Raw genomic sequence first — 15,512 nt, forward strand, 5'->3', positions numbered from 1 at the left:
AAGGGGATTGCACAAGCCCAACTGCCTGGGGAGGTTTCGTAAAGTTTGGAATGTGAGGTCTGCGTAGCCAGGGCCTAGACACCCCTGCTGGGTTTTCTTACCCATGGCAGTGAAGACAGTTCATTGGAGGACGCAGCTGTAGTTTAGGATGCCAGCCCCAAACCCTGGGAAAAACGCTCAGATGTCCTGAAATCATTGCTAATGTCCCAGCACGTGCTCAACTCCTGTTGCTGTCTTTGGGACTAATGCTATACATAGAAAAGGCATGTGCTATCGTGGTGAAGGGTCAGGCTTTGAGAACAGATAAGTCCTGGCTCAAATCTTGTCTCCAACCTCCTATTATACTATAGCATACTATATGACACAACACTACACTACGCTATGCTACACTACACCACTCTCTATTGTACTATCTAATACTATCCACCACACTACACCCCTATTATACTATCTATTAGCATTCTATTCTATCCTTTGTTATACTACCCAGCACTGTGCCTGGCACTTAGTAAGTACACAGAAAAATGAGAGTTATTCCCATTATTGAATAAGTTTAGGATGCCGTCTTGGAAATCACTTGAAACGGCCAAATCTGAGGTTCTGTGTGAGGCTGGACCTGAGAGGGAGGCGAGGAGAAGGAGAGAAGCGGGTAGCATCCTTCAAAGCAGCTGAACCAGCCTGCTCCCCGGGCAGGGTGTGAGGGGCCATGCCTAGAGGGGAGGGGGTGAATCAGCTTGATGTTCCTCAGGGAAGCTTCAAAGGTCCTGGAGCAGGGCCAGAGAACGGAATGCAAATGATGTTGGTTTACTGAATAAGCCAAACTCACCTGGCAAATCTCCATCTAGCAAATCTCAATCGGGTGCTTTCCTGCACCCCCTGTGATTCTCTCTACCCTGGATTCATTCAGACGCTCATTCTCCTATACTCCCACTATATCTTATACACAACTCCACAGTAGCAAGGATAATAATGTTTTTTGATCATCTGCCAGCTCTTTGATGGTGTGGACTGAATCCTTTCACCTGTCTGTCCCCAGCACTGATCATAGCACTGAATCCTTTCACCTGTCTGTCCCCAGCACTGATCACAGCACCTAGGTGGGAGGAGCGCTCCGTAGATGCTGGAAGAAGGAAGCTGTCACTCATGAGCTTCTTTGCTTATGTAGGATCTTACGCACCACACCTTGTCTTGGGCTCAGGGCTCTCAGCATTGAGGACCTCGGCCTTTCTTTCGGGTATTTCCCAGATGTGACACATGCCCGGCATGAAGGCAGCTATGTGAGTTAACTATCTCACAGTTTACTCTTTCCAGTTTCACAGGCTGCTCCTTCTTCCTAGTAGTTTTCTGGCATTTGAGCAGGGCCATACCTGCCCCCTTCGCACATTCCTGGGCTTAGATCCACATTCCCTGGGTCTTCATCATTCCAGACGCAAAGACCTGATCTGTCTTGCCTGCCAGTGCTCACCCCACACCTTGACAACCTCTCCATCATTTTCATTCCTTTTGCTGGCCCTGCTCCAGGACCTCTGAGGCTTGAGAAGCAGCAAGCTGATTCACCCCGTCCCGTCTAGGCGTGGCCCCTCACACCCTGCCCAGGGAGCAGGCTAGTTCAGCTGCTTTGAAGGATGCTGCCTGCTTCTCTCCTCCTCACTGCCCTCTCAGGTCCAGCCTCATACAGCCTCATACAGCCTCGGAGTCAGCCGTTTCAAGTGATTTCCAAGAATCATCATTGGAAAAAAGCCTTGTAACCATCAAGTGGTGCTGATCTAATAAGAGCCAGCACAAATCCTACGTTAAACTAAGCAAATGGCGTTAATCTCATCATCATCATCAAGCCTAGGCCCACAGCCTGAGGTGACATGGGGTGACCGAGTCTCTGGATTGTGTGAAGGAAGGCTCCAGTGATCAGGTTGCTGCAAGATCAGGTTGACTTGGGGTAATAACCGCAGTTGCAATTACATGTGCTGTTTACATACTTTGCCCCTTGTACTTGATAAAGTCCAGAAAGAGCCCTGGGCGCAGCTGCTCAGCGCCTCTTGGGGGTAAGCCACATACCCTGTGGGAGCAGGAGAGCCACCTCTCCCCTGAGAGAGAAATAGGGCCCAGATAATGTCTAGTTTAGGTACCTCTTCAGACCAGATACCTTTGAAAGGATATCGCTTTCTTGTCTGTCTTTCGATATCATCATTACAAGATGGAATGCCTCCTCTGCATAAAGAAATAACAATTCTCCTAGTATCTTCAGTTTTTTAAAGAATAGAAGGATTGGTACAATCACAAGTCTTTGAAACAAATTTCCAGTAGTTTTTCCAGGTATTGCTGGAAGATTTGGAAATAAAGAAGTAGCCCTTTAACCCAGTGCAGGAAAATAGGCAAGCTTCATCATCCTATAAATGATCATGCCCTCAGAACTTGCTGCAACAGAAAAACCAGCTCTATCTATGTACAGTACTGAGAAAGTAGGGCCACTTCCTCTCACTTGGGATCTGGGATAGCTAACACATGCCTAAAAGCAATCTGTTAAGTATGACTGAAAGGGGACTGCAGATTAAAGTTGCAAGCTTCCAGCTTTGGGGTACCCAGGAGGGCATCTCCTCCTGAGGATCAACAACAGAAAGAAAAAAGCAATGAATCTGAGCACAGCACATTCAAGTTTGTAAACTCTTTTCTAACTTTCCACCTCAATGCCACAGAGCAGTGCTACTGTGAAACTGGGGACAAAGAAGAGAAGGGCATCTGTAATCGGGGAGCTCAGGGTGTGTGCAAAACGATGATGATAAAAAAAGGCAAGGAACAGCAGAATATGCTGGATTCAGCAGGAGCTGGGCCCCTGAGAGCTGGGGAACTAACAGATTGCAGCCAAAGCTGCAGCCCTCACGTTTTCTGACTTGAGAGATAATGAAGCAATAAAAGCAGCAGAGGCAGCCAGTAAGGGCTCTGCTCCACAGGGTTGTCTGTGTGAGAGCAGCTGCTTGTGGGTGCCTGCTCAGAGTCCATCCAAGGACTGCAGGCCTCCAGCAGACTAGCAAGGCAGAGGACCAAACAGCCAGGCCTCGGTGGCCCAGGGCTAATTCCCTCCTTCAGAGACACCAGAACCTTGGCTCCCCAGCCTGTCACTGAGCCTGTCCCAGGGTGGGGCAGCCCATATGGTTGAGCTGTTGCATCGCCAGAGACACCAAGGGTAAATAAACCCTGGGACTACAGATGGGAGGCCAGCCAGGCTGGCTCCACTTTTTGATCTCATCACGGGGGGCAGTCCGTGTGGAAACCCTGGGAGGCACCTTAGCGATTTTCCAGGCCAACAACTTCATTTGTCAGATGAGAAAATCCCCCTCCCCCTCCTAGGGGTTAAGGGACTTGCCAAAAGTCACATAGTGAATCAATCGCAATGCAATAAAAAGTGGTGGCTGAGACCACAGCTGGGCTTGAGCTCCAGCTCTATTGCTCTGGAGCTTGGGCAAGTTACATAGTTCTCAGTCTCTTCATCATATAATGAGCGTAAGGTTAGGACCTTCCATGTTAGGTTCTTGGGGAGATCAAATGCATGAAAAGCCTATTGCCTGGTTCATAGTAACTGCTTAGTAAATATTGTTGGTTGGAACTTATCGTCATGACTTTGAGTCATTGGAAGTAGATCTCAGAGTCTCCTTCTGCCCAGGTCGGGGATATAGTGTGATGGATAAAATCTTGGGAAACTGAGTTTGGATTTCGCTTCACCTCTAGTTTTGTGACTCCGGACACGGTATATAATCCTTCTGAGCTTTCGTTGCTCTCATCTGTAAAATGGGAGTAACTCTGCCACCGTAAACAGGTTTGCTGTGAGGAACAGAGGTGGCAAAATGATGACATGCTCATGGCAGCACGTGACACTCGGAAAATCACAGCTGTTACCATTAGCAGCTAATCTAAAGCTCCTTCCCCCACTCGGCAGTGAGGACAACTGCTTTTAGTTTGAAGAATAATAAGTTGATGCAATGAAGATGCTAAGTGTGTGGCTGCCCTAAAGGCTGGCAGGAACCACCCAGCCAGCTGGTGGATGGCATGATCTGAAATGGACCATATGTTTGAAATTATGAACCCAGATGTTAGGTCTTGGCACCTAGGGTTCACACCATTAGATTCAATCCTTTAGGTGTCTCTAATGGTCTTCAAGGTGCCAGGAAGCTTGCATTAAAATGCAAATCAGTTTCCTGAGAAAGGAAACACATTAAGTTATCCACTTAGCAAATTGCTGAGCTGGGTTGATTTGGGGTGAGAAAGGGGAGAATTTGAAAGGACAGCGGTAAGAGTTATATCTCTGAAGAAAGAAAGTTATTTTTCTACTGAGCCCAGTGATGAACCAAGGCTATGAACAATAGGTATAGTGGGGTCTCACAAGGTGACTGGGGACACTGGAGGAGAGAGGCAAGGGGCAGAAAAACTGGTTTTTTTCATAGCCTTAGGATCCTGTCCTGGCCAAAAGCACATAAGTGTAAATTCTACTCCAGTCTCTGCTGTGTCAGGCTGGGGGATTACGGAGAACTCGTCCAGATGAGGCTTAGAAGAATTCTTGGAGATGCACACGTGGGTGATGAGACCCAGAAACTAACACTTGGGAAAAAGGGTCTGTTTCTTACACACATTGTGTCCCTTGATGCTTCACACCCTGACTTAAACACACTGGGGCCCAGTGAATGGTCACACAGGGAATGGTCAAAGCTACAGAGATGAAAAAGATGGTCAAGGACGTTAAAGGTTTGTTTTGTACACAGTAGAAGTATGTCTCCCTTAGCAGTTACGGCATCCCTGTTCTTAACAAAATCACTTCTTTACTTGCTGTCTTGAACAAGTAGGATAGCAGAAAAGTCCTGGCAGAATTTCTATTTTAAGACCATAGCTTGCAGTTCTTTCACTGAAATCTAGAATAGCATGCCTTGAAGCAAAGAATAAGAATCACTTTATGTGTACAATGTCTTCCTATATGACTAATGTGGGTATATCAATATTTCCCTACAGGCTAGTGCTATTTTAAAGATTTAATTTTTTTAAACTTAGGGTGCTTGGGACAAAGACTAGTGAAAAAAAGTCATCTTTATACTAGGAAAGCCTCTTCTTAGCACCTCTCTCAGGTTCGGGAATTTCTGATTCCTAGTTTTGATCTATCCCACAACCTTAGTCTACCCTAGAACCTCCAAATTGGTAATAAAATCCTAATAATGGCTGCACCTTTCTGAGCCCTTATTCATTAGCACTGTGCTCGTCACTTTACATGTTGATTCTTTTATTCTGTACAGTAACTCCAGACCATTTTCATCCCCATTTCACAGATTCAAAACTGAGGCTCATATGGGTGATTAATATGCTCCAAGTCATATAGGCAAGAAATTGGCGGAGCCAGGATTTGAACTCAGTGTGCGTGTGAGTTCTAAGGCTGAATATTAGCTGCTTGCTGCTTAACCACTCTGCCTCCATTGATGAGAGGAAAACATACAAATCCTTCTCTTCAAGTTGCTTTTTCTCTAAAGTATCCTTCAGGCAAGGAGAAAAACCACTGTTGAAGAAAATACCACTAAACACACAAGACTCCCAGAAGCACAAAGAGAGGCAAAGGAGGTCCAGGGAAGTAATGGAATGTGGAACAAGGATTCGGCCATATAGAAAATATTCCGCACTTCAGCTTCTTGATAAGAAGTGCATCAAAGTACTTCTTAGAAAACTCTACCAAGAAGACATAGCAAACAGATCTTTTCAGATATGCTGCATACCACTCTATTATTAGCTCCATTGCAATCTATTCACTGAGGGATAAGAATTTTCCAACAGACTGTTAGCTCTAAAAGTCAGTATCTCCTGGAAAGATCTTTAGGTGCGGGAAGTCAGATAAAGTATTTTTTAGAATGATTTCTGAGTAAGCTATGTAATTAAGGTTTTTAGCTCCACTGTTCACTAGCTGTGCAGCCTCAGGCAACATGCTCAGCCACTCAGCGCCTCTCTATTCTCATCCTTACAATGGGGGATCACTTATGGTACCAAGGTGCAGTGAAGGGCTGGATGTGTAGCTCATAAACCCTAGGAAGTGGCTTTCTCTATGAGGCCTGATTTGACAGCTTCTCAGAAGATTTTATATTTGGGGAATCTTGAAAAGAGAGAAAATCCAATCCATGCACCACAAATGTAATGCCTTTCAGTCTGGGAACATACAACAGCCAAGTGGCATGAGCAAGGACACATTGGAGGCAACAGGTGCGTGGTTTGGGTCTAAATCTGGCTGACCCTCTCAGTGTTAGGCCAAAGGATGCGGGCGGGGGTGAGGAGTTCCCTCCCTATCTGTGACTTTTAAAATCCTTGCTTCTTCTATGGGTCTGTCTGAAGATGATCACCCTTCCTGTTGAGGCACAGTAGGGAATAAGCCAAGCGGAGTCTTAGCACTTTTACCCTGAATTGTGTGGCTTTTGTCAAGCAAAGTCAGAAGGACATTTATTTTCAAGACAGGCTTTTATTCTTTTGGAAAAAGAAAAATCTCTCGTCCTTTCTGCATGTGGCTACAGCAAGCTTCAATTTACAAAGCTGCCAATTTTAACACATGTGCATGGGCACACACACATGCATACACACGCACACTCACGCACACACAAGTTGATTCTAGTCCTGGCTCCCTCTGAAACAATCCATCTTCAGCCTTTGCTGTTAATTACGACTTTGCATACTGATAACCAAATGACACTGAGCCTGGAGTGGCTGTCCCTTGTCTCTCCGCATCACATTTACGCAGGTTGATGAAATCATTCTGGGCAAGGTTAAGTCAAGCCTCCGTGGTGCAAAGGTTCTGCTTAAAACAAATACTGCTTGCTTTTGGGACCTGGCAGGGAAATAAAAAAGAAAACCAAGATGCTCTAGGCTTCTGTCCTGGTTTCCAGGCAACCAGATGCTGGGTACAGGAAGGGAGAGGGGCTTTCTTCTGGTGCCAGACAGTATTGATAGACAGAGGGCTAACTTTCAGAGCCAAGGACATGGGGAGGGACAGAGGAAGCCTGCATAAGCCTCATTACCCTAATCAACCATAGAGTCAGCCCGTTGGCAGAGAGAGCTGGAAAATGAGCCCATCCACAGGGCTAAGCCAGGGAGAGAGATGCCTTTCTGTAGTACTTTCCACAGGCACTGCCGCTGTAAGCAGGAGGATTCCCAGGTCACCATCATCTTGGCTGCTAAAGATGGGTATGCAGTTCAGCTGAGCAGAAGGAACCTGACAACTGTCTCCTCGGGGAGTCCCAGGAACCACTCCGGAGGTGTGAGTCCTGGTTGGAGGGCAGAGGGCACAGAACAATGGGCAGGCCGAGGTGTCTCATGCTTCGGTACCAGTTAACAGATCCTCTTCATGGCTACTGCGCACCAAGCACCTTGATAAGCCAAGGCAATCCAAGGGTGAAAAGGATGGACAAGCACCAAGCCATCCAATCACCTTTGCTATTTCTTTTTGTAAATATCCAGAGCTCCGTGGGATCATGGGGTGTAGTGGAGTCTTCTGGAGGCTCCTCTGCAGATCTGGGCTAAATCTGAGCTCTGTCACTTACAAGCAGAGCCAGTGACCCTCAGCACGACACCTAACCTCTCTGAGCTTCCCTCTCTTCTGTCCAAAGGGTCATTATGAATCAGCATTCAGCACAATCATTATTTCTACTAAAAAACAAATGAGAGTTTTCTATCTTTTCTCAAGTTCCTCTGGCGACACAGCAAAAACTCTGTTCAGCTAAGATGGTAAGAATGTAGCCTTCCCCTGTCATTGTATTTGCAGTCCTTATAGTGCTGTATGGCACACGGAACGTATACTACATGTACATTACAAAAACATGCAGCAGACATTCGGCATCTCATTAAATTCTGGATGGCATAAAACCGTATGCCAGGAAGTAGCATTCCCATTTTGTAGAGGACGATTCTAAATTGCAGAGAGGTTAAGAGGGCTGTTGGTTCACAAGGAAGCAGGGTGTCCACGCCAGAATCTGTAGGAGGAAGAGTTTGGTAAATTGCACCGAAAAAAGAAGTTCCCCAGCCCCGCCCATTGTGGCTGTGGCCTTCTTCCGGCCACTGGACTCAGGCCTACTGGAGTGGTTCCTGGTACCCCTGGGGGGTGTATGCAGGCTTCTGCCCATCTGAATTGCATGCCCCTCTGTGGCTGCCAGGTTGTCCCCATGTTGCATTTTGGCATCTCATGTTGAGCAGCATCCGCTGTTCTCTACTGGTGCCTGTGTCCTGGATCTGAAAAAATGAAGCAAAAGAAAACAAATACAACAAGCAAACAAAAATAGAGAGGAATCAGATCCCGGGGTTTTAGTCCTGGCTCCCCTGTTTACTGGCTGTGTGGCCTTGGGCAAGTTCCTAAAATTGCCCAAGCTTTGGGTTTCTCATCAACAACAGGGCAAAAACAGTGCCCATCTCACAAGACTGTGTGAGATTCAGTGACAGATGCAGACAGCAGGTTCAGCAGAAAGTGCCTGGCACTTAGGAAGAATTCAAGGCTTCTTAGTGGAAAGTCTTCAGAAGATGCTCTCCATGCAGCTAGTGCAATGTGGCTTCCTTTAGTGAGATGTTGGGGAGGAGCCTCTCCAGGTCTGGGGTTACGATGCCTACAGGGCAGGGACAGTAACAGCCACTGGCACGTAGGGACTTACTATGCACAGGCTGGCCACTATCGTAAGCACTTTATAGGATTTGCCTCATCTATTCCTCACATTGACCCTGAAAGGTAGACCCTATTGCTGCCAACTTCATTTTACAAATGAGAAAACTAAGACCCAGAGAGGTTAAGCAACTGACCCTGGGCACACAGCTGTTCTACCCCAGTTTGTCACCTCTCTGCCCCCAGCCTCCCAGCCCAGAGCACGTTCTCCCAGTTGGCCTTTTGGGGTGACTAAAACCTTTCCAAAAAGTTGTTACTCTCAGATGACTCCCAGAGCATCTCGAGATGGGCCCTGAGAGTGAGGCTGGCACTCTGCCCCCACACCTTGGGGAGGCCAGGAGCGCTCTTGGTGGGAAAAGGAGATGTGGCCCTGGGGGTCTGACAGCTGACCCATCATCCTTGCTTCATGTGCACCAGACTGACTGCTTCCAGTTAAATAAAAGTATCAAAACCTATCACATTCATAAGAGCACCTGGGGATAAATGCAGTACTGAGCTGTCATCACGCTCTCACTCCAAGAGTTCCAGGAGCTCGTGTGCTGTGCACATGGAGCTCCTTGGCAGTTGGGACGGCTGCTTCCCTCTCACCCAGGTGATCACATTTCCCAGGCCAACCTCTGGGTCCTGCCATGACCCCCCACCACCTCGGTAGCCATTTCCAAGTTTTACTACTACTTTCCTGTGTTTTATTTTTTGCACGAAATTGTTCTACCAACTTGCCACGTGAACAAGGCCAGCCCTGTTGTACAGGAGGGGGTTTGAATGAGTTGGGCACATTCCAAACCGGGCTGGGATGAGCTGGGGCACTTCAAGGGCCTCCCTAGAGGTTGCCCCTAGAGGGTCAAGGGCATAAGGAGGGACTCCGGATGGATCCCTGATCCACTTGTATCTGTTTTATATCTTAGAGCTCTGCATGAAATTTTGCTTTAACAAACGGGTTGGCGGCCAAAAACACATTAAGTAATTAAATAGTTAAATGCATAAATCAATTAAATAAAACTGCTGAACAACCTGATTTCTCAGGTCCTGCCTAGCGTGAAAACCCTTTTTGCATAATCAGCAGTGGACGCTGAAAATGCGAACTGCTGAGTGAAAATGAGAACCACGCTGCCCGTACTCTTCTTTGGTATTTTCCAGGGCCACAGAGATAACAGGAAACCATAAATAAGGCCAAAGACAATGAATGATGAGACCTGGGTTTGGCATGTAACCAAGAGTTCTCTGCTCCTGTGATACAGACAAGGCCCGACGACTGTGGCGAGGGTCTGTGAGGCGGGGGGAGGCCAGCCCTGCTGCTGGGGCTGGTGGACACCAGAGTCCAGTTGAGCCCTGCTCCCCAAGATCCTAATGTCCCCCATCTTCAGCTCTTGAGTGGTTCTTTCTACATCTCAATGACAGTAGGCATGACACTGTGGGAACGTGGGTGACATCCAAAGCTTAGTGATGCCTTCTGGCCACAAAGCAACTTCTGCCAACCGGAAGAAAGACTACTCACCTGCACACAAAGCACACACACACACACACACACACACACACAAACACACATACACACACACATACCTACACATACACACATACCACACACATATGCATATATACAAACATGTGCACACACACATGCACACACATACACACATACATATACACACATACATATACACACATACACATGCGCAAACACACATACATACACACATATAGATACACACATACACACATGCACACATGCATGTGCACACACATGCACACGTGTGCACACACATACAGACACCACACACATACCGCACACCACACACATACACACATACATGTATGCACACACATACACACACCTATGCATACACATATACACACATGCACACACACACCCCTGCACATACATACACATGTGTGCACACACACACGCACACACACACAGCACATACACACCACACACAGCTATTTGTTTGAGGAAAAGCATGGTTTATTTAGATGGTGCTTTGCATAACTTTCTAAATTGAGTTCAAATTGGCATAAGACCATGTATTTTGTGCTGTCCGTTGGCCCCTCTTAATCTCATGACCTGATCTTCTTTTGAAGATTAAGGCACACATTCATCACCATAAACAAAAACCCCTAGGATAGGCACCAAATAGCTTGGAGTGTTTATAGAGATAAACTTCCCAAGTCACAGGACACTTTGCATCCGAGGACTCAGGTGCTTGGCAAAGTATACATCTTCCTTACGTCAGTGGGATCCAGTCTGTGTCTTGACAGTGTTGTTCTGAAAGTGGTCATGCCCCAGCAAAGTAATGGTCCTGAATTACTCCCATCATTTTGCCCAGTTTTAGTTCATTCACAGCACTTATTACCTTATATACCTCATTGTCTGTCATCTGCCTCCTTCTCCAGACAAGGGAGGAATTTGACAACAGCAAGGAGCTTATTTATTTCATTCACTGACATATGCCCAGCTTAGAACAGTGCCTGGAATGTTGTAAGCACTCAGCAAGTGTCTCTTGAATCAGTGAGGGAATGGATGAATAGATGGTGAATAACCTTCCTTCTCAATCTTCAGTACAAAACTCGGCCACCGTGGTGCAGCAGCGAGGTATGAGCCAGGAGTTCCAGTCTGCTACTTACTTACAACACTCCACAAAAATCCCTAGAACTAACTTCCATACACTTACCTGTAAAACGGGCATCATCTCCACCCAACAGAACTGTATGTGAGGATGCACTGAGTTCACGTATGTGCGAAGTGCCCACATGTTGTCTGGCACATGGTAGGTATTTATCCAGCCATTGTTGAATGCAAGATAGCCTTTTATTATTTCCCCCACTTTAGATAAGAAGAAAATTGAGATGCAGAGGGTGGATGGGAATAGTAAAGCCAGGACTCAGGCTGGCATCTTCTGCCTCTCAGATCAAAGCGCCTTCTGTCTCTTCATGCTGCTTTTTCTAGAACAATCTCCCCCTTTCTCTCACAACACACACCCACACACAGTGCATGTTAGTGGTTCAATTTAATATTTTTTAATTTTAATATTTAATTTAACATTAATCTAACATTTTCCCCAAACATACTATTTATCTTTCTACTCAGTCAAGACGTAGTCTCATGTAAAGGCTTCAAACAGGCAGATGGAAAGAAGAAGACTCCTTTACTATAGAGGGTTGGCCTGGGCCCTGAGCCGTCCCCACCCGACCCAGGGGGCATCTCCTTGGTGGCTCTGGTCTGTGGCTGTTTCCACAGTGAAGCAAATATCCTTTCTGTCAGGTCCCAGGGGACAAACTCTGAGCCAGGGCATGTGGTGGGGGCCTGGGGACTCCTTAAATCCTCCCCTCTCTCCTACCCCCTAAGGGCATCTGGATCCTCTGGGTAGGATGCAGAGCAAGGACCAGGCCACCTGCCTCCCACTCGAGCCTCCATGGGGTTGGGACAAAGATTTCTCCTTCAGGAGAGGAAGACTGGACAGGTTTCTGGGCTGTGTCAAGCCATGGCTTAGTTCTCCCTGGTGATGAGGAACAGCTGTGCCCCAAAGGCAAAGCACCGTGGCCTGGTAGACTTGGGTTGCCTCCCCAGTGTTTTGATAAAAGCTTGAACAGAGATGAGGAACTGTGTCTCTCCCCAGCAGCCTCTCTCATGCCAGGCCACAGGCCCATCTCCTAGCAGGTTACCAAGACCAGAGATGGGCTTCCTTCTCTCCCGCTATCTGAGGGGTGGCACACTGGAGTATTCTCTGTCACCATGGAGAATGATAGAGGCTGGAAAAGGTAGAAAGGACACCCAGGCTGCTAGCTGAGGAGACAAAGCAGAGCAAGTCTGCTGGGACAGCCAGCATCCCAGAGGAGGAAAAATGATAACCGCAGGAAACTGGTGCAGTTCAAATCCCACCTCAACCTCCACCAGCCAGGCAAGACTCAGTTTCCATAGCTGTACTTAAAGAGCTTGTAGGAATTAAGACAGGTAGGTCGTAAAGGGCACTTTGGTAGTTTGAGGAGATATGAGTTGAAAGATGGAATGAGTACCTTTTTCCTAGGAAAGGGACAGAAATGATCTGTCATCTCAGGTCATAGTCACGGTTAACAGGCTCTCCAACTCCTCGCTCCTCTGTGGCTTGGTTTTTACTGCATCTCGATTTTGCAGCTTTCCCACTTCGACTGCTAATTAAATGAGCATTCAGCCTTCCTTGATGGCTTCCTTTTCCCTCAGAAGTAGAGCTAGCTGGCTGGGCATGGTGGCTCACACCTGTAATCCCAGCACTTTGGGAGGCCGAGGCAGGGAGATCACAAGGTCAAGAGATTGAGAGCATCCTGGCCAACATGATGAAACCCCATCTCTTCTAAAAATACAAAAATTAGCCGGGCATGGTGGCACACACCTGTAGTCCCAGCTACTCGGGAGGCTGAGGCAGGAGAATTGTTTGAACCTGGGAGGCGGAGGTTGCAGTGAGCCGAGATCGGGCCACTGCAGTCCGGCCTGGCCACAGAGTGAGACTCTGTCTCAAAAAAAAAAAAAAAAAAAAAAAAGAAAGAGAAAGAAAAAAAGTAGATCTAGCTGCTTTTAGGGCAGCCACCCTACCCCCACATACCACTTGATAATGGTAAGAATCACCAGGGGGTCCCTATTATTTAAAGAAAGAAAAAGAGGAGGAGAAAGGAGCAAATCCCACCCCACTCCAAACAGACCCAATCTGAATGGCCTGAGGGAGGGCCTAGAAATCTATATTCCTAACAAGCTCCCTAGGGGATTCTTATCCTAAAGCAAATTTGGGAAATATAATTCAGGGCATGGCCTCCACACTATTTTTTTTTTGTTGTCAAGACTCAAGATGAGAAATACATTAATAAATACACTTTATGTTGCAAATCAAGATGTACTCATATAGCTGGCTGATTAAGAATGTTTCATGGGGCTGGGCACGGTGGCTCATGCCTGTAATCCCAGCACTTTGGGAGGCCGAGATGGGTGGATCACATGGTGAAATCCTGTCTCTACTAAAAATACAAAAATTAGCTGGGTGTGGTGGTGCACGCCTGTAGTCCCAGCTACTCAGGAGGCTGAGGCAGGAGAATCACTTGAACCTGAGAGGCGGAGGTTGCAGTGAGCTGAGATGGAGCCCCTGCACTACCACCTGGGTGACAGTGAAATTCCATCTCAAAAAAAAGAATGTTTCATGGAACCTTATTATCTGTACTCCATTTTGCCACAGTCCATTCCACTCTATTATACTTATTTCATTTTTAAAAGTGAATGTTTCATGAAATCTTATTATCTGCACCCGTTTTACCGCAGTCCATTCCACTCGTTTCATTTTAAAAGTGCTGGATACCACCCAGTGATCAATTTCACTAACCAGCTGGCAGTTTAAAAAGTGTTGATTTAAGGTGTGACTTTCTGGTAATTCTTCAGTCTGGTCGTGGACTTTATCAGTGGCTACCAGAAGCCAGTCTTCCAACTCATAGCTTAAGAATCATCAGGGCCCTTGATAAAGGTGCAAATTTTCAAGTCCCATCCCCTGAGGTTTTAAACGGCTTCAGAGAGTGGCCAGAACCACAGTGTCCAGGAGTCTCAGTACCACTAGCTGGAGATTCTGAGCCCAGGGAGAGACAGCTTCTGATTGATCCAGGTGGGTCACATGCTCGCTCTTGGTCAGATAAAGGATGACACACCTTGATGGGCAGTTCTGCCAACACTGGGTCCCTTGGAACTGGGTAGCTCCCTAAAGTAAGTGGAAGAAAGGGGAATGGGTGCTGCCAGCAACACCAATGACCACAACAGAGGCCATCTTAGGCCACCCAAGTAGCAGTTTGTTAATCTCTCCTTCGTCTTAACTGCTACTATCCTCCCCGATGCAACCTGGAGTGCCCAGCTGGTGCATACAGCAGGCATCCATGTGCATGGGTTATATGGAATACCTGGGAATACTTGTATTCTGACTTCTGGTCTTGATCTGAAGTAATCAGGCTTTTGACTCTGTGCTTCATTTTGACAACGGAAGCCAAACTCCTGAGGGCTGGCTCCATTGATTGCAACAGAGTCTAGATTTTTATTTATTTTATTTAACAAACTCTTCCATATGCAAGCCAGTATTCTAAGTGCTTTACAAATATTAACTTATTGAGTTCTCATAAAAACCCTATAAGAGAAGTACTATTACATGCCAGGAACCATTTAAGGGGTTGTACCCATATTATCTCTATTCTTCCAATCCATCCGGTAAGGGGACAGGAATCATTTTTCTTCATTGACAAGACACTGAGATTCAGAGGTTATATAACTTGCTCAAGGTCTCACAGCAAGTGGCAGAGTTGCACCTTGAACTCTAGTAAGGAAGAATGAGTAATGCCAAGGGAATCTTTGAAATGGCATTTAATCCTAGAGTTACCAGTTAAGCTCTTCCATGCTAAGAACATCCAGGTTCAAATGGGCCAAGCCCTGGGGGACAAGTTGTGTCTTCTTACAAACAGAAACAGAGGCACAAACCAAAAGGACTTGCCTAAGTTCCAGCTGTGGGCAGGAAGCCAGTAAACACATGAAACCCCCAGCGGCTGGCTGAACATTCCTATAGCTTCGATGTGCCCTCATTCTGTTAAAATGTAGTGACCAGGAAATTCATCACTGCTTATATGAATTATATGTTTTTTCAATGAAAAGAAGAAAGCTCTGTTCACTCATGGAGACTTTTATTCAAGCGTCAAGCTGTATTTTAATTTTCTAGTAGCAAGTATTGCAGTCAGCCACACTCTTAAACAATGACCTCAAATTCCTCTTTGCCTTCATTGCAGTGACAATGTTGTTACAGCTGACTAATGTTTTTTTCTCAGTTGGCATGGCTAACCAATATTTTCTGAGTTAAATACATCTCTCCAG

At 46.5% G+C, this 15,512-nt stretch overlaps 1 long non-coding RNA gene across 1 annotated transcript; it reads right to left on the reverse strand.

The window, feature by feature from the left end:
• Window positions 1-6,455: 6,455 nt before the first annotated feature.
• On the reverse strand, window positions 6,456-8,331 carry LOC124902516 (uncharacterized). Its single transcript, XR_007062319.1, has 2 exons — window positions 8,081-8,331; window positions 6,456-7,979 (listed from the first exon to the last, which is right to left on the reverse strand). It is a non-coding gene; the product is annotated as an uncharacterized LOC124902516 (long non-coding RNA).
• Between the last annotated feature and the right edge of the window lie 7,181 nt (window positions 8,332-15,512).

The sequence above is a fragment of the Homo sapiens genome, chromosome 10 (genome assembly GCF_000001405.40).
Source record: "Homo sapiens chromosome 10, GRCh38.p14 Primary Assembly".
Taxonomy (NCBI): domain Eukaryota; kingdom Metazoa; phylum Chordata; class Mammalia; order Primates; family Hominidae; genus Homo; species Homo sapiens.